This window comes from Homo sapiens, chromosome 2 (assembly GCF_000001405.40).
Source record: "Homo sapiens chromosome 2, GRCh38.p14 Primary Assembly".
In the NCBI taxonomy this organism is placed as follows: domain Eukaryota; kingdom Metazoa; phylum Chordata; class Mammalia; order Primates; family Hominidae; genus Homo; species Homo sapiens.
In genome coordinates this window covers 38425759-38449408 of record NC_000002.12, presented here as the reverse complement: position 1 = coordinate 38449408, position 23650 = coordinate 38425759, and the positions used below count along the sequence as shown (strand labels likewise).

At 45.6% G+C, this 23650-nt stretch overlaps 1 long non-coding RNA gene across 1 annotated transcript, besides 4 other annotated features; it reads right to left on the bottom strand.

Moving 5' to 3' along the window:
* Positions 10151-10200: an enhancer, noted in NCBI's record as "active region_15607". NCBI's record gives its function as "activates an Ori minimal core promoter by ATAC-STARR-seq in GM12878 lymphoblastoid cells {active_cell/tissue: GM12878}" and the evidence as "EXISTENCE:reporter gene assay evidence [ECO:0000049][PMID:35858748]".
* Positions 10221-10470: an enhancer, noted in NCBI's record as "active region_15606". NCBI's record gives its function as "activates an Ori minimal core promoter by ATAC-STARR-seq in GM12878 lymphoblastoid cells {active_cell/tissue: GM12878}" and the evidence as "EXISTENCE:reporter gene assay evidence [ECO:0000049][PMID:35858748]".
* Positions 12868-13162: an enhancer, noted in NCBI's record as "tiled region #2666; HepG2 Activating DNase matched - State 5:Enh". NCBI's record gives its function as "activates a minimal TATA promoter and a strong SV40 promoter by Sharpr-MPRA in HepG2 cells {active_cell/tissue: HepG2}" and the evidence as "EXISTENCE:reporter gene assay evidence [ECO:0000049][PMID:27701403]".
* Positions 12868-13162: a silencer, noted in NCBI's record as "tiled region #2666; K562 Repressive non-DNase unmatched - State 21:Repr". NCBI's record gives its function as "weakly represses a minimal TATA promoter and a strong SV40 promoter by Sharpr-MPRA in K562 cells {active_cell/tissue: K562}" and the evidence as "EXISTENCE:reporter gene assay evidence [ECO:0000049][PMID:27701403]".
* Positions 15836-18115, bottom strand: LINC01883 (long intergenic non-protein coding RNA 1883). Its single transcript, NR_146454.1, has 2 exons — positions 17971-18115; positions 15836-16070 (listed from the first exon to the last, which is right to left on the bottom strand). It is a non-coding gene; the product is annotated as a long intergenic non-protein coding RNA 1883 (long non-coding RNA).
* Positions 18116-23650: the final 5535 nt, after the last annotated feature.

The window sequence follows — 23650 nt, the reverse complement described above, 5'->3', positions numbered from 1 at the left end:
TACAGAGTAGTGCCCCATGTCAGGGGCCTACAGGCTGAGAACTGAAGACTGGTACCAACTGTAAAGGAAGGGAATGAAAATGCCCATTGATTACTCTTGCTCTGAATGTAATGGCTCTTTAAGACTTTGATGTTTCCTTCAACCTGTGTTCCCAGGGAAGAGGGAAGGTGAGCTGTTTTGCAATAATTCCTCCAAGTCTTCAGACTCTGGCAATAAAGAAACATGTTCAGAAACAAAGACCACACCTTCCCCATGGCAGCTCAGAGAAAGACGAACCCGGCTGCCTGCATCATTCTCTTAAGGGCACAGCTGCAGGATAGCTTCAGCTGCACTGGTCTGGAAACTCTCAAAAGTGGGTCAAGACTCTCAGACTGGTTTTAGCGTAGTTGTATATTCCTGACCCATTTCTGCAGGGAAAGGGAAGGACATGAAGACTGCAGTTGCAGGCTTTGGACATATGAAAAAACCAACAGATGGCGGCACTGCCAAATTACAGGCAGAATGCATGGGGTGGCTTGGCCTTCCCCACCACCTGCTTCCTCTTCTTTGACACCTTTCCTCCAGGATCAAAGATATGTATTTGTGCCAGGAGAAAAACTGCAGTAGAGCTTGGCTTAGTTGTCAGTGGGGCAACACTCAGAAGACTAATTGCCGTGACGGTAGCAAGTGAGCCCCAGAAAAATCTGGGATGTAAAACCATCTGAGACCATTCAGTTGAAGCTATCTTTAAGAGCTGTCAGACTTTATGGTTAGTCCTCCACTCCTAGCAGAGAAAAGAACCTTCGAGCTTGCTATTTCCTCTCTCTAGTCTTACTGTCTTTGTATTCCCAATGTCTAGCAAAGTGGCTGGCATATGACGGATACTTAGATAATGTTTGCCAAACCAATCCAGAAGGAGACATTTAGGGAAAGCTTCAAGGCCATTTGGAAAAATGGCCTTTCTGTTTGGTAGGTAGTGACCTGGAAAAAAGAGGAGCTGCTAAATAAAACCTTGGATCCACCCAGAACCCTATTTTGGGGATGGTCTCTTTTGGAGGCTTTAGATGATGCTGAATGTTCTGGGGTTAGAGTCTGGGAGGACTTCATGTTGAGGTAGGAAAATTCTATAGCTAAATCTGGAGAGACAGAGGCAAGAAGCTCCTTCTAAAATCAGAGTAGGAAAAAATATAATCTGGGGACACAGGGATGTTTTTACTGAAAACTCAAATGGTCAATAGTGAGGCCCCGGTCCAGTAATGCTGGCAGTCAGACTTAAGGTCTAGGGCAATAAGAATCTAGCCTTAAAAAATAGAATCAGGCCGGGCACGGTGGCTCACACCTGTAATCCCAGCACTTTGGGAGGCCGAGGTGGGTGGATCACCTGAGATCGGGAGCTCGAGACCAGACTGACCAACATGGAGAAACTCGGTCTCTACTGAAAATACAAAATTAGCCAGACGTGGTGGCACATGCCTGTAATCCCAGCTACTCGGGAGGCTGAGGCAGGAGAATCGCTTAAGCCTGGGAGGCAGAGGTTGTGGTGAGTCGAGATCACGCCACTGCACTCCAGCCTGGGTGACAGAGCGAGACTGCGTCTCAAAAGGAAAAAAAATTAAAAATAATAAAATAATAGTAATAATAATGGAATCAAGTCAAGCAACCTGATGGAGAAAAAGCCTGTGAAGGCTTCCAAGCATTACCCTGAAAGAACACATTGACCCATCTGATCAATAGGTGCTACAGAAACTCTAGATGCAGATGTCGTGTTTTTCATTTTGACTAACTTGTTTTAAACTTGTCCTCAGCGTTTCTTTCACCCCTTATTTGCAACTACCTTAAGGGTGCCAAGCTGAGCCTCCACCCCAGAATTTCTCTAGGTAATTTAAAGCTGACAACTTTCCCAAGAAGAGCAGCTTTTCTGCCTGGACATTCCTACCAGAACTCATTTCCAGGTAGCATGACAGTCCTGAGTCTAGACTTGTCTGAGAGAGACAGCCTGGGCCAGCCCTACCAGGCCTGCCTTGCCCAACCTCCATACCTCCTCCTGCAGCAAACGCATCTCCTGAAAAATAGCCAGAAGCTTCCTGCAGAGCCAAAGACTTGGGGGGAATTTCACTGTGAGGTTACACTCTTCAGTTTCCTCGGGAGGAATGCAGCCTGTTCGGAAGGTGTTCATCCTACCGGTTTCAGCAGAGCACCTGGTAATGCTGACATACATGTGTGTTTAGAAGGAGCCTTTTCTTTCCCATCATTCTCTCCACCCCCTCCTGCACTTCGCTTCTGCCCTACATATACATAGACTTAATCTAACATCGCAACTGCCACAGGGGAAAGCGAATGTGCAGAGAGACTGTTCTAGATAAAGTTGTTCCTTTTAGTTTCAGCAAAGCTGCCCTCAAGCAGAATTCTGACTGCTGTGCTGATTCAAGGTCTCTTCCTTCAGTTGCCAACTCAGATGCAAGATCTGGACTTTCTTGCTTGGATGTACAGCCCACAGGGAGCTGAAGGACTCTCAAATATGTCTCCCTCATGGCAGGCAAGCTGGCACTGTGGAGGCCACAATTTTTTCCCTTCAAATTGCTACGGCATCTGAAATTCTCGTTAATCTTCCAGCGCTTTGAAAAGGTAATCTCCTGGGAGGATTAGGATAGCAACCGATAGTGCATACCTTAAGTGTATCAATTAATCAGAACCGTCTTCATAGCACTCAGCTAAGATTCCAGATTCCTGGAGCAAGAAGTGCTGCTGGAAGACATTAGTTACCCCAGGAGGCCACAGAGAGGAGCTAGTCCGAGGGAGAATTGCCCAGATGACAACGACAAGCCTCACTTTTCCCAGGCACGGCAGTAAATATTAAGCTTCTATCTCCCTAGCCTTGGATTATGTATTTCCTAGGCTTGTCCTCACCTTTCACTCCCTGCCCTGCTAAAAGGCTCTTTGGAAAGAATGCCCCAGAAGCAGCACTTCAAATGCGGTTTGCAGCCTTGTGATGGTCCTGGAAAGTCCTTATAGTGGTCTTGTGGACAATTCAAATGACATGGGTGTGGTTCCTCGGTATAATCCTCCGCCCTGTGCTCCAAATGATGCTGGACAGTTAAATCCGAGGTGCTCACTTATGAGGGAGAGATTGCAGTGTCCTAGAAGCATCATCATCATTACTATTGTAGAACACGTCCCTAGAATTCATGAATTCAGCCTTTGACATTCATTCATTCAGTGAGGTTTTATCAAGTATTTTTTCTATGCATTGTGTTAGGACAGGAGACAATAAAAAAAAAACAGTGCCCCTGTCTTAAAAGAGTTTGTGTGTCAGCAATGGGTTGGGGAAAAGGGTGCATGTGTAAAGTCATAACTACTGATGCCATGGGACAATTCTCTTAATACTTATAGGAATATAGAGGTGCTGTGGGCACCCATCCCATGGCTCTAGGGGCCAAGGACATCTTCCCAGAGCAGCTGACTTTGAACAGAGTTTTGGAGGAATGGTAATTTACCATGCAGATGAGAAAGAAGACTATTCTCGGGAGGCAACATGCCTCCTACTGTTCAGGACATGGAGCATGGACTTGCTGAACTTTACTCCTTCCTTCATTAAAAAACTAGATTTTTGCTTGGTGCAGTGGCTTGTGCCTGTAATCTCAGCACTTTGGGAGGCTGAGTAGAGCCTGGACAACATTGCAAGACCCTATCTCTACAAAAAAATAAAAAAAATTAGCCAGGCATGGTGGCTCACACCTGTAGTTCTAGCTACTCAGGAGGCTGAGGTGGGAGGATCGCTTGAGCCCAGGAGTTTGAGGCTGCAGTGAGCCATGATTGTGCCATTGCACTCCAGCGTGGGTGATAGAATGAAACCTTGTCTCTAAAAAAAAAAAAAAAAAAAAAAAAAAAAAAAAAAAAAGCAACAACAACTAGATTTTTGAAGGAAGAGGAGAGTGAGTTTTTCAGTCCAGAGTATATGAAGGAGAATAGGGAGAACTTAGGTTGGAGTTAGACCTTTCTACCCTTCGGCTAATCTACCGTCTGTCTCCTATCAATTCTACTCTCTAAATGCAATGGCTGGCTGGGCACAGTGGCTCATGCCTGTAATCCCAGCACTTTGGGAGGCCGAGGCAGGCAGATCACCTGAGGTCAGGAGTTTGAGACCAGCCTGGCCAACATGGTGAAACCCCATCTCTACTAAAAATACAAAAATTAGCTGGGCATGGTGGTGCATGCCTGTAATCTTAGCTATTCAGGAGGCTGAGACAGGAGAATCACTTGAACTTGGGAGGTGGAGGTTGCAGTGAGCCGAGATCACGCCACTGTACTCCAGCCTGGGTGATAGAATGACATTCTGTCTCAAAAAAAAAAATAAATAAAAATTAAAAATAAATAAATAAATAAATGCAGTGACTTAGGGACACAGCTAATTTGTCCTCTGCTGTCAGTCCACATTGCCAGCTCATTCAGACCCTCATCATCTCTTCACCTCCTCTCTCAACTGCTCCTCCTGTTTCTGGCTTCTTCCCCTTCCGATTCATTTCGACACCACCATTAGGGTTCTTTTCCCGTTACAAGTTTTACTTTATCATTTTTCTGCATAGCATATCTCAGTGCTTACAATCATTTCAGGATAATCCCCAACCCTTAGAATGGCTTCTACTATCAGGCCCTGTGTGACCCAGCCCTTACCTACCTCCATAGCTCTGATTCCACGGCTCCTACCTTGCACCTTGCTTTAGATAAACTAAACTACAAACACGCTGTGTTGTTCATGCCTTCAGGTCTTTGTCCATGCTATTCCCTCTCTCTGGAAAATGCTTCTGCATCCTGTCCTCTCAACAAACTTCCATTCATCCTTTAAATGTGGATTCAAATGCCACCTCCCTCAACCTTCCCATACAGACTTAATCACTGCTATTACTTATTTATGTTGATAGTGTTACTCATCACGCTGCTGTTGGAATGAGCTCTTCACAGCATGCTCCTCTGCCACATGCTGAGCAGCTTCAGAAGCAAGTTGATTCATTTTCACAGCTCCAGTCCTTAGCACAAGGCTTGGCTCATTATGGTGCGAAATGGAACAGACCACTGAGTCAGGCTAGGCCAGCATACAGGGGTTCTCAGTGACAATCACCTGGGGAGCTATAAAGTACCCCAGACCACCAATACTGGGGCTGAGTATTTTTTTGTTTTGTTTTGTTTTTATGAAAGCTCTCTAGGAATTTATAATGTGAAGCCAAGGTTGAAATCTACTGGGGATACAAAGTGAAAGGATTTGAGAATCAGAAGACCTGAATTCTGAACACTGCTCTGGATTTATTTCACTATCTTAGGCAAGTCAGTTATTTCTCTGGCCTCATTTTCTCAACTGTAAATTGGGAGTTCTGAACTAGAAGATTGCTAAGGCCCTGTATTAGTTCGTCCTCATGCTGCTAATAAAGACATACCTGAGACTGAGTAATTTATAAAGGAAAGAGGTTTAATTGACTCATAGTTCCACAGGGCTAGGGAGGGCTCAGGAAACTTACAATCATGGTGCAAGGGGAGGCAAACACGTCTTTCTTCACATGTAGGCAGCAAGGAGAAGTGCCGAGCAAAAGGGCACTTATAAAAGCCCCTTATAAAATCATCAGACCTTGTGAGAACTCACTCACTATTAGGAGAACAGCATGAGGGTAACTGCCCCCATGATTAAATTACCTCCCACTGGGTCTCTCCCATGACACCTGGGGATTATGGAAACTACAATTCAAGATGAGATTTGGGTGGGGAGACAGCCAAACCATATCAGGCCAATTTCATATCATTGACACTTCTCCAAATGTCATTAAGCATTGCTAGGTCAGAGTGAGATAGCAGGTGCCTGGCCATTGAGGCTTGGCTCTACTCTTTACCTCTTTCCAGGAAGGGGACAATCACTGCTTGCCTTTTAGCCTTTCCTGTTCTTCCCTCGGCTCCTTCTCCTTTTGCTCTATCTTTCCCACTGAGGTTGGGGATTTTCTCTAAGCCACCCTCGCCAGGAGGTAGGAGCACTTCTGGCAGCAAGCAGCCTCCGACTGATTGTTGGCTCAGGGTTTCACACTGCTATGCTGAAGAGGGATTGCCAAGAGCCGCAAGCAGGATCTGTTTCTTGTCCCTGAAGATAATTTCTTTCAGGAATGAATGGGTTGCACCTATTGCGTTTTCTTTTCAAAATGTCATGCTGCATTTTTGAGAGTACATGTAGGAATATATAAAGTGTTAACCGCAAAGAAAAATAAATATAAACAAGGCTTCCTTTGTACTTTGCTGACTGATCTGGAGGAGCGGGGTGCTGGGTGGGAGCCCTCACTGCTGTGAAGTTCAGGCTTCCTGGTTGGGCATCTGGAGATTCTCCAACACTTAGTCACTGAGAACAAGAGCTACCTCTTGCAGCCCCTGCAAACAGTTTCTATCAATGGCAATCCAATATGTCTCACCTATGAAGGTGAGACTTTGTCTTATGGTAATGGACAAAGACAGAGCCCATGAAGGCTCCATTTCCATTTGAAATAAATCATATCAGCCTGTCCCCACAGTCAATATGAATTTGATATCTCACAAATTAAAGCAACTCTCACTTGAGCCGACACAATCCATTATCCTGCCATCTGTTGTCCTGGTTTCCAAACAGGGATAATGAAAAGATATGCATTTCTTGAAAGCTTGGCACTTTGGGAGCAGAAGAAAACACACATTCTTTTAAAAGATGTTAAACTGGCTCTCTCAGATTAATGCCATGAAATCCAGCCTTGAGTCTTTATAGCCTGCAAATTGCTGACTTTTCTCATTTCTACTATGTTGTATTCTCATGCTGATTAGGGAAAAGTAACAAAACTCCTTTTCCTTTCTCTGCCATTTTTGATTATCAGTTCCTAACGCCAGTTGTACATTAGAATTCTTGGAGGAGTTTTGGAAATACACGGATGCCAGGACTGCCCCTTCCTTCAAAGATTCTGATGTAATTGGTCTAGGATGGGGTCCAGGTTCCTATTGTTGTAGGACTTTTCCTTAGTTCAGCTAAGAGCTGGGTCCTTGTCACCTGGCCATGAAATAGGCTCACAGACACTTTGATGGATGAGAAAAATGGAATTTATTAGGCGAAAAGGAACCGGAGAACAGAGGATGCCTGGCTCTTCCCTCCTGCAAATGGTGTGAACTTCCCAAGGCTCCACCCTGTTCTCCCAGTGCACAGGTTGGTCGGAGTTTTGCCAGGGAGCCCTTACCACCTGACAGTCTCATTATAGTCTTTTCCTTTCTTTTTGAGATGGAACTCATTCTGTTGCCCACCCCGGAGCGCTGTGGCGCGATCTCAGTTCACTGCAACCTCTGCCTCCCAGGTTCAAGTAATTCTCCTGTCTTGGCCTCCCGAGTAGCTGGGATTACAGGCATGTGCCACCACACCTGGCTAATTTTTGTATTTTTGGTAGAGATGAGGTTTCACCATGTTGGCCAGGCTGGTCTTCAACTCCTGACCTCAGGTAATCCACCTGCCTCAGCCTCCCAAAGTACTGGGATTACAGGTGTAAGCCACCACTCCTGACCCTCATTATAATCTTGAAAAGCTCACTAGGTGATTCTAATATGCAGTCAGGGTTGAAAACCACTGGACTCAGCATTATAGAGCATGGTCTGCCCTTATTTTATGAAAATAATTCACAGAAGTTGAATATGTTCTTGTGAGTTTCTTTTTTTTTTTTCCTTCAAATTTAGCATTTATTGCACTGTTGTGGATAGATACACGTGAGATAGCAAGATAAACATACCAGACCAGGCGAGGTGGGTCATAATAGACTCTGCATCACTCCCCAGCTTAAGGTAACATAATCATTCCCCACTTCCTCAGCTAACAGCCAAGACCTTCCACGATTGGCTCCTGCCCCAATTTTTGGGCTCTCCTCCTGCCTCTCTGCTTCCTCAAGAACACTTGCTCCTGTTCTGCTGAATGCTTACGGTTCCCCAAACACCCAGCTCTGTGCCTAGAAACTTGTCTATTCTGGCCCTGCGCTTTTAAACCAGACCCACCCACGAAGTGGCTGCCACCAATAAACAGGAGCCTCCGTCTCCTGCAGCCCACCTCTTTGTTCCTGCTCTACCTGCTTCTGATCTTTTGACTCTGTTGCCATCTGACCTGGATTTGTCTATGTTGACCTCCCAGGTCTCTAAAGGGCTTGACTGGCACTCCTCTCTGGCTCTCCCGACTCCTGTTCAGCCTGGCTTTAAGGCTCCTGGCCAACTTGCTTTGGAGGGCCCCATTTTGGCTCCTGGTGAGCAGGGGTTCAATAGCTCTTGCTTTACTCTTTCATCTGAAATGCCCTTTCCTCACTTCTCAGCCAAAGGAGCTTCTCAAGACTTAGTTTAAAACCCACGTCCTCGAAGATATCCTTTTCAATGTTCCCAGGAAGAATTAGCCACTCCTTTCTTGGGGCTGTCCTGATGCTCTGTGTACACACGGAACGCTGCCCTTATCACATCACTGGTTTACACGTCTACCTCCCCCTTGGGGCCAGGAACTTATCTTAATAGACCTGCTGCTGTGCCAGGCACTCAGTGAGTGCTTCCTAAATGTTTGTGCAATGAACAAAGGCTTGCTGACTTCTGTCTCAGTTACATTCTGGCTTCTATATGTTGGTTATCTAGGGGACGCTAACCACAGATTGCTCCATTAGTAACAGTATAAAGTTAAGAAATGTGTGAATCTTAACAAGGCCATCGTTCCTCCTTCCTGGGCTGGGTCATTCAAGCCTCTTAGATGTATTTATGGCTTTATTGCTCATGGTTACCTTATTATTTTATTTTATTTTTTTTGAGACGGAGTCTTGCTCTGTCGCCCAGGCTGGAGTGCAGTGGTGCAATCTCGGCTCACTGTCAGCTCTGCCTCCCGGGTTCACGCCATTCTCCTGCCTCAGCCTCCCCAGCAGCTGGGACTATAGGCACCCGCCACCATGCCCGGCTAATTTTTGTATTTTTAGTAGAGACGGGGTTTCACCGTATTAGCCAGGATGGTCTCAATCTCCTGACCTTGTGATCCACCCGCCTCGGCCTCCCAAAGTGCTGGGATTACAGGCATGAGCCACCGCGCCCAGACACCTTATTATTTTATATGCTGCTCACTTTGACATTCCTGCTCAACATTGCCTTACCTTAGGAATTAGTCCACCTTTTTAGAGTTGTGCAGTATCTGAGTGGGATTCCCAGATGATAATTACCATGAGTCCCTCAGCAACGTGTTAATAATTATAGACAGGATGAAGCTTAGCAATGTTTAATATATGCATCCTTAAAACCCAATATGTAATCCTTACAGATGAATAATGCAACCCTTGTTCTTGCAGTTATTTTCAGCTTTTCCTTTTTATTACTTACCTCACTAGAGGCTGACCTGTGAAAACACAGAGATCTTTGTAAGGACAGATTCGTTGACCTTATCCAAGAGTTCTTTTTTCTGGCAACACCAGGAAGAGCTCATTATAGTTTTGCTTGTGGCCTTGTCCCACAGCATAGCCTCTGAGGACAGCTCTGGGCCACAGTCGGGCTCTAGTGAATACTATAAAAAGTCATGAGAGATACAAGACATATACAAAAGACCCAGGCCTCCACTTGAGATGCAATACTCAGACACCAGAAAAGCACAAAATATGTCTAGTGTTTCCTTGTAACAGACAATGACTTGATGGTATTCAGGAACAAGGACTAACTTTGGCTTAGAGGTTGGGATAATTGTCATCTTTTCAATAGCAGCCATGACAATGCCATGTAGGAAAAAAACATCAAAGATACTTTTTAATTTTATAGGCATAATTGTATTTATTTTCTATAGCCAAGTATTAAAAAAAATTGTTCATAGGCAAGACAAACAAGGCTAAGCATTTTGACCAAGATCACAAGAAAGAGGGACTTTGCAGGTAGGCTTCTGGATTTAAAATCCAGTATTTTACATGCAGTGTTGAATTCTGTTTCCCATGAAGCAGCTGAAAGTGCCAGTTGGAGTGTTGTGGGCAAGGTCATGGGTTTTGTACCCAGTGACTCACTTAGCTACAAGAGGAAAAGGACTGTACATTTCATCTTCATTCTTACCAGGACACATGGCTTCCTAAATATACTCATTGGTGTTTCAGACAATCACACTTTATTGAACATTACCTTTATGCCAGGCTCTGTGCTTCATGCTGGAAATGTAGTCTTGTTCTCAAGAAGAGCAGAATTTAATAACAAAGACATACAAGCAAATACAGTGTAATAAGGACTCTGATAGAGGGAAACGTGGGCATGAATGGAGCCAGAGGAAGCTTGTCTAACTCGAAATGGGGGTTGGGGTCAGCAAAAGTTTCTGGGAATCCCCTGATCACAAACATCATGAAAACTGGTTAGGCTAGTTGGAGCTAGCCAGGGAAGGGGCTTTCCAGGAAGAGGGGACAGTGTTTGCAGTCATGCATTGTGGTAAAAGAGCATGACATATCTGAGAAATAGCAAGTGATCTAGCATGGTGAGATTTTTTTAAGGAGACACTGCAAGGTAGGAGAGGCAGGCAGGGTCCAAATTGAAAGTAGCCTTGGGGCCCACTCTAGGGAAGTTTAACTTTATCTTCACTGTTTTAACAAGACATGAAGGGTCTTAGATTGGGGTGGGAGTGTATGTTTCATGAAGATCCATTGCAAAGTCATATGGAAGAGGAACAGGTGGGAAACATCTGTTCCTGGAGGCAGAGCCTTGGATTCCCTGGGGAATGGCAGGAGGGGGAAGATGGCAGAAAAAGGCAGAGGACATCACTGAAGACCAAGTCTATCCAGTGTCATTAAAGGTCTTTTGTGTCCCGGGTGCCATGCTAAGTGCTCTTCATGCCTTGCCCCAAATTATCCTCATACCAACACCAGGAAGTGACTATCAGTTATCTTCATTTATAGAGAGTAAAGCCGAGGCTGTGTGTCATACACCTATAACTGTTGGAGCAGGGATTTGAACTGATCCCTAAATTAACTCCAGAAGCTGTGAAGTTAACCTCTCTGTTATATTGCCTTTTGTTGAGGATTGGCCTCATCCAGAATACAGAACAAAGCCTTTTTCTAAGACACAGGGACTTTTCAGATGGGGCAGCTCAATTTTTTTTTTTTTTTAGTTACATAGTAATAGAGAAGGGATCCTTTGTATTGCAAGCCAATACTTGGTAAGGATTCCAAAAGTGGTTTGTGGAAAACAGACTGTAGCCTTCATCTTTGGACATAGCTTGAACACAACAGGGGAATTCTTGTTTTGCTGGATGGGGCTGGGATTGGTGGAACTGAGAACCAAGATGAGGTGATAAATCTCACCTATTCTGGCCCTTTGCAGCAGTTCCCTTCCTTTGGGACTGTCATGTCGTGCTGCACCTTCGCCCCCATCAAGGGACTGCAGTAGAAGCAGTCGTATTACAAGGTGGACCAATGGCTCCTTCTGAGGGTTTAGGATGGCTGACTAGAGGAGAGCGGGGGTGGAGGTCCTCTCTCCGGTGGATGAACCTGCAAGATGAAATAGCCAGAAGCTAGGCTGGGCATGGTGGCTTACGCCTGTAATCTCAGAACTTTGGGAAACCGAGGTGAGTGGATCATGAGGTCAGGAGATCGAGACCAGCCTGGCCAACATGGTGAAACCCTGTCTTTACTAAAAATACAAAAATTAGCTGGGCGTGGTGGCAGGCACCTGTAGTCCCAGCTACTCAGGAGGCTGAGGGAGGAGAATCGCTTTAAGGTGGGAGGTGGAGGTTGCAGTGAGCCAAGATTGTGCCACTGCACTCTAGCCTGGGCAACAGAGCGAGACTCCGTCTCAAAAAAAAAAAAAAAAAAAAAAAGAAAAGAAAAGAAAAAAAAGAAAAAAAAAGAAATAGCCAGGAGTTGTTGGTGGCCAGGTTTTCAACTGTGAAGAGAAAGCTGGACTTTAGAGATGAGTAGGAACTTGACCTCCTGTAGGAAGAAGCAGAGACTGGCAGAGATGTAGCTCCTGGTTTTAGCTGTTTGTGAATTTCAGCTGCATCCAAGCCTTTTTAAGAACTGGATTATTTGATTCTTCCTTGAATCTTAGAAATGTTCCTAGTATTGTCAGTGATGACTCAGCCTGTAATCTCAGCACTTTGGGAGGCTGAGGCAGGCGGATCACCTGAGGTCAGAGTTCGAGACCAGCCTGACCAAAATGGTATAACCCTGTCTCTACTAAAAAAAATACAAAAATTAGCTGGGTGTGGTGGTGGGCACCTGTAATCCCAGCTACTCGGAAGTCTGAAGGGGGAGAATCGCTTGAACCTGGGAGGTGGAGGTTGCAGTGAGCTGAGATCATGCCACTGCACTCCAGCCCGGGTGACAGAGCTAGACTCCATCTCAAAAAAATAAAAGAAATGTTTCTAGATCCATCTAACGTAATCTTTTTATTTGCTCTCAGCAAAAGAAAGTGTTTGTTCCAGGTCTGTTTGCAGCTGTTTTTCAAAAGGTGTGTCTATCTTAGGTGACTCATGAGTCTATGTAGCCTGATTGGCAAAATGAATTGGCCACTTCTGGTTCTCTGTGTTGTACTTGGATATCTCTGAAAGAGGTGGGATTCTAGGGAGGGCCTGGTAATCACTTTTTCTAGTCATAACAACTGACTTATCTTTCATTTTTGTTCAACCCTCGTCCATGAGGGAAACCAGAACTTGTCCAGTAGGAGAGTTGGAGGGGCCTCACTGATGCTGATAGGCTGGGGTATGGTTACAAGGGAGCTTCAGGGCTGGTACCAGCCCACTGCTGACAGTCAAATGCAAGGACACAGAATTAGATCATACTCAACCAGGGCCTGGGAACAAGACACAAAGCCCAAAGGGTTTCAAGCCAGCTAGACACCAAAATGGAGCAAGGAGTCAGAGCCTAGTGGAAACAAAGGTAGATGATCTAAGAAAGCGGCTGTCAACGGGATGGGCATGCCCAAGGCTCACTTGTGTTGGCTTCTGACCTGTGTGTGTAGTGGGTCTATTTAGAGTAAACACTAGCCCCAGGTGGACAATTCCAGCAACCACTCAAGGATTAGGTCACCTAATGTGCAATGAACCATAGGCTTGGGGGTGGACCTGGTGTATGTACACAGAGGAGGCAAACAGGAGGGCAGCAGATTAAGCAAGCACATTCTTACACAGATTCCCAGCCCAAGGAAGCCCTCTTCTCATTTTTTTGGCCATGGAAACCATATAGCCATGAAATGGAACATGACTCACCAGTGTACCACTCCATGTGAATTTATGTTAAAGCAACAGATAGGGAATTTCATACAACATCTTTATTTATCCAAACATTTGGCTAATATGGGTGACGATAACAAGCATTATCTGGGTACTCTGTGGAGGCTTGCCATGACACAAATAGACCCAAAGCATGATTTTGTTGCCCCAAAACATGATTTTTGTTCTAATAGCTGTCTGGCACTCACTAATCAAGTCAGTTGAATAAACAGTGCTTCTTTCTGACGCTGTATCAGGCATGGTGTCTGTTGTCTGTCTTTTCTCACAAAGACATTTTTTTCCTAAGTAAGTATAGTATAAAGATGATTATTGAATCAACAAGCCCAGAGGCTTCACACTGCTTTCTTGCAGGGGACCAAGTGGAGAAGGAGTCAGCAGGTTGACCCAAACAGTGATCAGAATCATGCTGGTGGTTGGGAGAAATGGGTTTGACCATCAAAGGAAGGTCAAAGTGAACTAGTGGGAGATGGAGGAGGAACTTGCCCAGCAAGCTCTCACCTCCCATCTGGGAAGCTGAATCCTGCAGCCCAAAGCTGAGGTCTCTTTGTTTTACCCTTGGCTGTAGAGCTAGCTATTTGATAAGTTGAATCAGAGAGGTTAGACCTTATTTGGAAGGCAAGGTTTTTGCATTGCCTAGATATTGAAAGATATCCCTTTGTTTTTATGGGAATGAACAATGGATAATGCAATAGAGGCCATGGCCAACTCCTTCCCTGTCAGCTATGGGGAAACGTGGGTGGTGAGTGATTCAACAGAAGCCCACCGCTCTCCTCCTTTCTTCCAAAAGCAGGATGTGGCACAGGTAGCAAGAAAAAATTCTGGACGTCATCAAGAATTGGCAACGGTGGCCAGGTGTGATGGCTCACGCCTATAATCCCAGCACTTTGGGAGGCCAAGGTGGGCAGATTACCTGAGGTCAGGAGTTCCAGACCAGCCTGGCCAACATGGTGAAACACCGTCTCTACTAAAAATACAAAAATTAGTCAGGTGTGGTGGCGGACGCCTGTAATCCCAGCAACTCAGGAGGCTGAGGCAGGAGAATCGGTTGAACCTGGGAGGCAGAGGTTGCAGTGAGCCGAGATCATTCCACTGCACTCCAGCCTAGGTGACAGAGTGAGACTCCATCTCAAAAAAAAAAAAAAAAAAAAAAATTAAACCCAAGCCCATGGGCTACACATCCCCACCAGCATGGTGGCAGGACCTCAACTCCCCTTTCTAGCCTCCCTTCCATCTAGTATATTTCTGTGGGTGATTGGGTGAGGTCTCAGTCATGGGACCTCATCCCTCTGGGTCACTGCCTGTCTTAGTTCACTGTGCTGCTGCTTCAGCAGAAAACCACAGTATAACTTAAAAGAAAAGAGATTTATTCAGTTTATAGTTCTGGAGGCTGGGCAATCCAAGAGCATGCCACTGACAATAGGTGAGGGTCATCCCATGGTGGAAGGGTGAAGGCAGAAGTGAGCACTGAAGACCAACAGGCACCAGGAGCCAGACTTGCTTTGTAACAACCCACTCTTTTAATAATGATGTTAATCCATTCATGAGGGCTTTGCTCTCCTGACCCAGTCACCTCTTACTAGGTCCCACCTCCCAACACTGTTGCATTGAGGATTAAGTTTTTAACACATGAAATTTTGGGAGACACGTGCAAACCATAGCCCTGCCCATGCTGTGGTGAGCCTCTCTGCAGTTCTGGGGATGCCACAACTACCCTGGCCCTAGAGGATGCCAGTGTCTGGAACCATGCCAGCCCAAAGGGTGGCCACAGACTTGTTCTTAATTCTACTTCACTGAAGGCTCTGGGAAAACCGGAAAGAAAAATAGAGGATCTTCTGCCTGGCTTCTGGATGTGGCTGTTCTCAGAGCCCACAGGCATAGATCTGTTCCCGTGTTTCTCATAGGAGCTTCCTTATCAAACGGCAGAGGCACCTTCCGGAGCCCTCTGGTCAGAGTCAGCTTCTCTTACCACACTCGCAATGCCATCTAGGTGCACAACTCTAGTGGGCAGTGTTTTCATAAAATACAAATGAATGACACCCCCGGAGTTGTCCAGTAGAGTAACCTTGAGTGTACCTACTTCACAGACTTCTCAGGACACAGGCTCTGGAGAGGAAGCCCAGAAAGCCCAAGAAGTTCTTGTCTTTCCCCTGTCCAAGGCCCTCCTTGCAGGCTCTCATTGGATATTTTAGCTTTAGCCTCTTCCTAGTATGCCTGACATTGGGGTGAGCTTGCCCCTTACCCACAGAATGGGGTGCCCTGTGGGCCCCAGAATTGAGTACATATACAGTCCATGACTAACTTTGATTACACCACCATGTGTTCATGAGTCTGTCTCTCCTACTGTGTGCCGCCTAAGGGCAGGGACTGGGTCTTAATTCATCTTTATATGTCTAAAACACATCAATATTAGTCACTGGTGAGTAGAGGATGAATGGATGACTAAGATTCAATAATGGCATTAGCTTTAAAAGGCATCAGCAGGTGATTTCTGAAAACTTGCCAGATCCCCTTGTCTGAGTCCTCCTTTCATCTCCTCCTTGACACCCCTAAGAATCCTTGCCATGGTCCCCTTCCAATCCATCTCACCACCTCCTCACCTCGGCCAGGAATGACCTAGCCCAGTGTTTTTTTTTTTTATTCTTGGCTGCATATTACAATCACATGGGGAGCTTAAAAAATATACTGATGCCTAGATCTCGCTCCAGACCAACTAAACACAGTGTGCAGCTGAGGTTGAGAACCTCCACGCCGAGGCCACCAGAAAGTTCCACATCACATGCTCTGAGGCAGCAGGCTCTTTGAAAGCATGGGTTGGTATTCACAGCACTTGGCATTCATAGTGTACATGGAAAGTCTAGAGAGAAATAAAAAAACAAAAGCAAAACTAAAGAAAACAGGAGGGGAATTAAAAACAAAAAACAACAGAAAAAACACCTTTATGCCCTGGAAAAGAGCCTGCCCTGTGTAATGCACTGGGCAGCTGGATTAGGAATATCTACTGTGAGGTACTAGATAAACTTCTGCCCTGAGACTTTGGTCCTGCAATCCACTGTTGCCCAATCTTCCATGGGCCTTTCAGGCTTTTACTGTGCTCAGCATGTGATCAGCTTGCTGAGGCTCTAACACCTACTGTACTCACTGCAGCCTACTGTTCACTTGCTGCTCAGTGAAGCCTAGGCTGGCCACCATTCTTGCCGAACCCAGGTGACCTCTAGTTTAATTGGCTTTGGTGGCCTCCCAGGAGGTCAACTTGAGATTGTCGGCTGATTACCCAAGGGCCTGCACCCGCCTGGGAGGGCGGCTGAATAACTGCATAGTGATCAGGGCTACAAGGCCATGCCCCTAGGCTGGGCCAGAGCACATAGAGAAACTTAATTTTGACTTTTTAGCTGCCACTGTGGCTGTGAGTCTCTGGAGCCGTTTTTACTTAAAAATGTACCATTAACCTTGCCCTCATGGCTGTCTTTTCCCCAGCTTCCTTCTTCCAGGGGGCCAGAGACTTAATTAAAGACCCTTTACCTTTCTTTACACTTTTGGTCATTTTAATGGGAATGTTTGAATTGGGTTCTGTCCAGAGAAGCCAAGTCAAAAAGCAGTTAACTATTATCTCTCAGGATCATAGTGTGTCAGCGAGGGAATCTGAGACATCACCCATCACAGAGGTTCTCAAGCCTGGCAGTAGAGTAGAACCATCTGGGGAGTTTGAAAAGGACTAGTGGTTAGGCCTGACTAATTCAATAGCATCTCTAGAGGTGGGGCTCAGGCACTGATGTTTGCAAAGCCTCCTTGTGATGCTAATGAATAGTCATGGTTGATAACCATTCACTAATCAAAATTCCTTTATTTTTCATATGAGAAGATTAAGACTGAAGTGCTTGGGGGCAATTCTGAGCTGCTAGCCCTGCTTGGATGTCCAGGTAATCTGGAGGCAGAAGAATAACCCTTATAGTTCTGTTATCCGCCAATTAGATCTCTCTGGAGACTACTAGCCTGCTCTCTCGCCTTCTTTCCACTGTTTACATTTCTGAGTCGGAAATCTGAGAGGGTCGGCCAGACGCAGCGGCTCACGCCTGTAATCCTAGCACTTTGGGAGGCCCAGGCAGGCAGATCTCTATAGGTCAGGAGTTTGAGACCAGCCTGGCCAGCATAGTGAAACCCTATCTCTACTACAATACAAAAATTAGCTGGGCGTGGTGGTGGGAGCCTGTAGTCCCAGCTACTCAGGAGGCTGAGGCAGGATAATTGGTTGAACCTGGCAGGCAGAGGCTACAGTGAGCTGATATTGTGCTGTTGCACTCCAGCCTGGGAGACAGAATGAGACTCTGTCTCAAAAAAAAAAAAAAAAAAAAAAAAGGAAATCTCTGAGATTCTAGAATCTCTCTTCTTTCTAAAACCGCAAACCCTTTTTTTTTTTTTTTGAGATAGAGTCTCACTCTGTTGCCAGGCTAGAGTGCAATGGCACAATCTCGGCTCACTGCAACCTCCGCCTCCCAGGTTCAAGTGATTCTCCTGCCTCAGCCTCCTGAGTAGCTGGGATTACAGGGGCCTGCCACCATGCCTGGCTAATTTTTGTATTTTTAGTGGAGATGAGGTTTCACCATGCTGGCCAGGCTGGTTTTGAACTCCTAACCTCAGGCAATCCGCCTGCCTTGGCCTCTCAAAGTGCTGGGATTACAGGCGTGAGCCACCGCCCCCAGCCTAAAACCCCAAACTCTTAATATACTCATTCAATAGATGTGCCAGTCAAAGTGTACCTTGCCTTGGGTCACCCAGCAAGTGTCTTTGTCCAGGGCTCCATTTTCAGTCCCCCATGGCCGCAATCTGCTGAACTTGGGCTCTCAACAGGGGGTGCCAGGAGCATGGTTCATCTTCAGTCCTATTTCAAAGCTGGAAGTTAGGACACTTTGAACACTTAACTGAGGGGGAAGCTAGACGTTTTGGGGGGTTTTTTTGGCCCTCTTTTCATTTTGTAGGTGCTAAGTCATTATGACAACACAGTGGGGCTGAAGCTGCAGGTGAGGAAGAGGTAACCACGCTGTGTGACAAGCAAAGGACCTAGAGTGGAAAAATTGTAGGAGACATGCGCTCACTCTCACGGTGGTGCAAGAGCCTCTCTGCATGTTACGCTGTTAGCCCCTCATCTGCCTCACCCCAGACCCAGCTCTAAGGCAGGAAGCGGGAGGGCAGCGGAAGGGGAAAAATTCCATCCTAGCTGCAGGGCTAAATCTAGAATTTATTCCAAGTTAAATGTAGATGGAATGCTAATATGCCAGTCTTAGCCTGCCTTAGGCAGCGAGTCCGGCTCAAAGACCAATGACCTTGCAAGCGGAGAAGGCCATCGCTCAGAGCCCCCCATGGACGCCGACGCCGACGCTGAGGAATGTTCAGCCTTTCTCCCTCCCACTGTAGCCCCCTGCTTCACCAGCCTAACGGAGCCTCTGAGCAAAGGTGGCCCCTAGAGAGGCACAGAATAGCGACTCCTCAGAAGGGGCAAGTCTAAATGTTTCTTTTTCTTTTTTTTGACTTGAGACCTTGCTTCAGAAATAAGCTTGAGTCCTGAGGCTTCGCATCGCTCCTAGAGTACAGGGCAGGAAGTGTGACTTCAGAGCATGGGAAAGTAAGTCTCTCCTCTTCTTTGTGGAAATGTTCAACTTCATGGTCCACTCTGGCTGCGGAGTTCATAATTAGAGCTTTATACCCTTTGCCTAATGTGAACTGCAGATTCCTTGGGGGAGTTAGCGTACATTGAACCATATTAGTTCTTACTGAGAGCTGGAATGCCTGCCCCAACGCTGTGTGAAACAACCTCACACCCCTGCGGGCGCGACTTGCGTCCCTTCACTGCTGAGATGAGTGTTAGGCCCTCCTGACCTGAGGCAAAGCTCTTTTCACCATCTGCATCTGATAATCAATTATCATGTGTTATCCTGTGACTTCACTGTATTGTTTTACTGAAATGTATTAATGTTCAATGCAACATGGAATCCTGGACTAAAGAACATTAGTGGAAAAACTGGTGCCGTCCGAATAAGAGTCTGTAGTTAATAGTATTGTAACAATATTGATTACTTTTTCTTTCTCTTTTTTTTTGAGACGGAGTCTCGCTTTGTCCCCCAGGCTGGAGTGCAATGGTATGATCTTGGCTCACTGCAACCTCTGCCTCCCGGGTCCTAGTGATTCTCCTGCCTCAGCCTCCTGAGTAGCTGGGATTACAGGTGCCCGCCACCACATCCAGCTAATTTGTGTATTTTTAGTAGAGACGGGGTTTCAACATGTTGGCCTGGCTGGTCTGGAACTCCTGACCTCAGGTGATCCACCCACCTCGGCCTCCCAAAGTGCTGGGATGATAGGCATGAGCCACTGTACCCAGCTAACGACACTGATTTCTTAGTTTAGACAAATGTACCCTGGTTGAATAAGATGTTAACATTAGGAGAGGCTGGGGGGCAACTATATGGGAGCTCATTGAGCTATCTCTGCAACTTTTTTATAAATTTAAAATTATTCCAGGCCAGACGTGGTGGCTCACGCCTATAATCCCAGCACTTTGGGAGGCCGAGGCGTGCAGATCGCTTGAGGCCAGGAGTTTGAGACCAGCCTGGGCAACATGGCAAAACCTCATCTCTACTAAAAATACAAAAATTAGTGGGGCATGATGACACATGCCTATAATCCCAGCTACTCTGGAGGCTGAGGCAGGAGAATCGCTTGAACCCAGAAGGCAGAGGTTGCAGTGAGCCGAGATCGCACCACTTCACTCCAGCCTTTTAAAATGCACTTTTATAAATATCTTTGACAAAATGCCTTTAAAATGTCTTTTCTGGTGTGTGTGTGTGTGTGTGTGTGTGTGTGTGTGTGTGTGTGTTTGAGTTTCCTTCAGATAACTGAGCTTGTTTTCACATGAAGCGAAAATCTGCTCATGCATATTGTTTGGGAAAGTCTTGTTTTCTTAGAGGTCTGGAGGCTCTAAAAAATACCTACGGCTTCCTTCTATTCATTTTATATATTTTGGTTCAAAGATTTCGTAATTCCATCCCCACCCTGGCTATTCCCTAGGGTTATGAGAGAAAAAGAAAAATATTTTGTAAAGAGCAGGGATTGTATTCTTTTCTTGGCATGTTCCCCTACAGAGCACTGTGTATACTTAAGCCTCTGTATAAATAAGTGACACAAATATAGATGTTATGGGGGAGGGTTCATCTTGCCTGATGGCTTTCTGGGGCCCAGCGCAACTGTTTTGTTCACGTGTTTATGAATTGAGGCTAGCTTGGGCTTTGAATTAGGACCAGGAAGAGATGTAAACACCCACCATATTGATTGTCACACGTGACCATTTTTTGGAATTTGAGGAAGAAGATGATGAAAAGGGAAGGGGAAAAGAAGAAAAACTGGTGGCCGGGCAGTGTGGCTCACGCCTGTAATCCCAGCACTTTGGGAGGCCAAGGTGGGTGAATTACTTGAGGTCAGGAGTTTGAGACCAGCCTGACCAACATGGTGAAACCCCCGTCTCCATTAAAAATATAAAAATTAGCGTGACGTGGTGGCGGGCGCCTGTAATCCCAGCTACTCAGGAAGCTGAGGCAGGAGAGTCGCTTGAACCCAGCAGGCGGAGGTTGCAGTGAGACAAGATCACGCCATTGCACTCCAGCCTGGGCAACAGAGGGAAACTCTGTCTCTAGAAAAAGAAAAAATAGAAGAAGGAGGGTGGGCACTGTGCCTCATGCCTGTAACTCCAGCACTTTGGGAGGCCCTGGCGGGAGGAATGCTTGAGCCCAGGAGTTTGAGACCAACCTGGGCAACATAGCGAGACCTTGTCTTAATTTAAAAAAAAAAATAGAAGAAGGAGATAGGGTTGCAAGAGCCCTAAAAAAGGTGAAGGCTCAGTCGAAAGTGCATCCAGTTTCCTGGGGATCCTGTTGAAATGCAGATTCGGATTCAGTAGGCCTCTAAGGGCTGGGATTCTTCCCGTCAAACCAGCTCCCAGTGAGGCTGCTGCTCCAGGGACCTCACTGGAGAAGTAAGGCCCGGCACAGACTGTACCTTCAAAGCAGTAGTGCAATGGCACTCTCTGTCACTGCTGCTACTCTTGACTTCTGGTTCTCTCTAGCACCTCCCAGATCACTGTTACCGCCTGGATCACTGCCAGTGCTTTTTTTTTTTGGGACATGATGTCAAAAATGCGAAAGCTTTACAAAGCTTCCTTCAACATTGCATAGGGGAAATCTTCTCTTCCAAAGTCTCTCCAGTAGCTTCTTTTTCCCTTCTACCATGATTTTTTATTTCTTGGTCTCATTTCCAGTCCTTTCTCAGTTTGAATCTCTCATTCATTCAATTCTCTGGCCTCCTCTCTCTATTCAAACTAGTTTTATTTCTCTAGAGATTTTTTTGTTTTTGGAGATGGGGGGGATCTCGCTATGTTGCCCAGGCTGGTCTTGAACTCCTGAGCTCAAGAAATCCTCCCACCTCAGCCTCCCGAGCAGCTGGGACTACAGGTGTGTTTCATCATTCCTGGCTAATCTAGAGATTTTAATGCATAGTCTGCACCAAGAATAGTTTCCACCTTTTCTTTTTGGTCCCACCCGGGAACGAAATTAGCATCTCTTAATGGTGGGTAAAATTAGAGTAGACTCAGTGTTTAGTTTTCGTTCATTTCCCAGGCCACTTCTTTATGAAGTAACCTCCATCACAATGTATAGTTTCTAGAAAGTCTGAAGGAGCACTGATGTTTTCCCTCGAATGCAGTTTCTATGTCACCGTGGTAAAGAAGAATTTTCAGGCTTGCAGTCAAGGACAGCCTTTCAAATTCTCTTTGGATGAAACTAATCCCCAAGGCTGCCCAACCTCCCTGTAACTAAGAAGTTTACAAGGCCAAATATTTGATGCACTGGCCTGAAAACAATGATTTGGATGTCAGTCACTGACGACACATCATAATGCTTACCACCACCCTTCCAAACCCACTCCGGACCAGTAAACAGTGATTATGCTGACAGAGCTGAAACAAACCTTTACATCCGTAAGTATCCATTTAACTCCTGAAACCTTAAAGCTTGGCTTGGTGATCATCTCATTAGATTTTTCTGCAGGGTGCCGATACCAAAATGATACAGTATTATTTAAAAGTGGCTTATGTACCATTCTATCAAATGAAACTGTCTATAAACTGGTATTTGCACAAATTTATGTTGTAATGGTAAATGATACTTATCATGAAGAGCCTGGAGCACTCACTTAACTGCCTTCTGAATCATGCAAGAAAGCTGCAATATTTGTATAATATTTTATGGTGTTAAATATATTTGAAGTTAATTCTTGGGAAATTGGCTATCTATGCCTAATAATACCTTAAACTGGCAGATTTATTTCCAGCTTATCCCGCATTTTCAGCAAGAACATTTTATAAACCATATTTTAAAACTGAAGGAATTGAGATGAAGGGACTTGCCCAAAGTCCATAGGTGGTAGTAAGTGGAAAATCAGGACAAGAACCCAAGCCTTCTGTTTTCTTTTATATGGTTCTTTGTTTGCTTAACCAGAACATCCATTCCTCTTACAATTACTAATAGATAAAGTTAACTGAGTGTAATCCTGGGCCTAAAGTGTGACAATAAACTAAGGAGACAAATTTGGTTTTACCTCCATCTACATCCTGGCAGAATTTTCTTTTTCTTTTTTCTTTTTTGAGATGGAATCTTGCTCTGTTGCCCAGGCTGGAGTGCAATGGCACCATCTCGGCTCACTGCAGCCTCCACCTCTCAGATTCAAGAGATTCTCCCACCTCAGCCTCCCAAGGAGCTGGGATTATAGGCATCTGCCATCACACCTGGCTAATTTTTGTATTTTTAGTAGAGACAGGGTTTCACTGTGTTTGCCAGGCTGGTCTCGAACTCCTGACCTCAGGTGATCTGCCCGCCTCAGCCACCCAAAGCACTGGGATTACAGAAGTGAGCCACTGTGCCCCGCCTTTTTTTTTCTTTTTTCTTTTTTTTTTTTTTTTGAGACAGAGTCTCACTCTGTCGCCCAGGCTGGATGGAGTTGCAGTAGTGTGATCTCGGCTCACTGCAACCTCTGCCTCCCAGGTTCAAGCGATTCTCATGCCTCAGCCTCCTGAGTAACTGGGACTATAGGCACCTGCCACCACGCCTGGCTAATTTTTGTATTTTTAGTAGAGACGGGGTTTTACCATGTTGGCCAGGCTAGTCTTGAACTTCTGGCCTCAAGTGATCTGCCGACCTCAACCTCCCAAACTGTTGGGATTATAGGCATGAGCCACTGAGCCCAGTCCAGTATATCCATATCCAAAATTCACATGGAAGTTGTCTTTTAATTTGTCTGGGGACGATATACACTTATAACTTTATTTTTCTTCTCACACTTTTTATGAATCAACCAAGAAAAAGAAAATGGCTTGTTACCTTGGAATCACAGCTAATT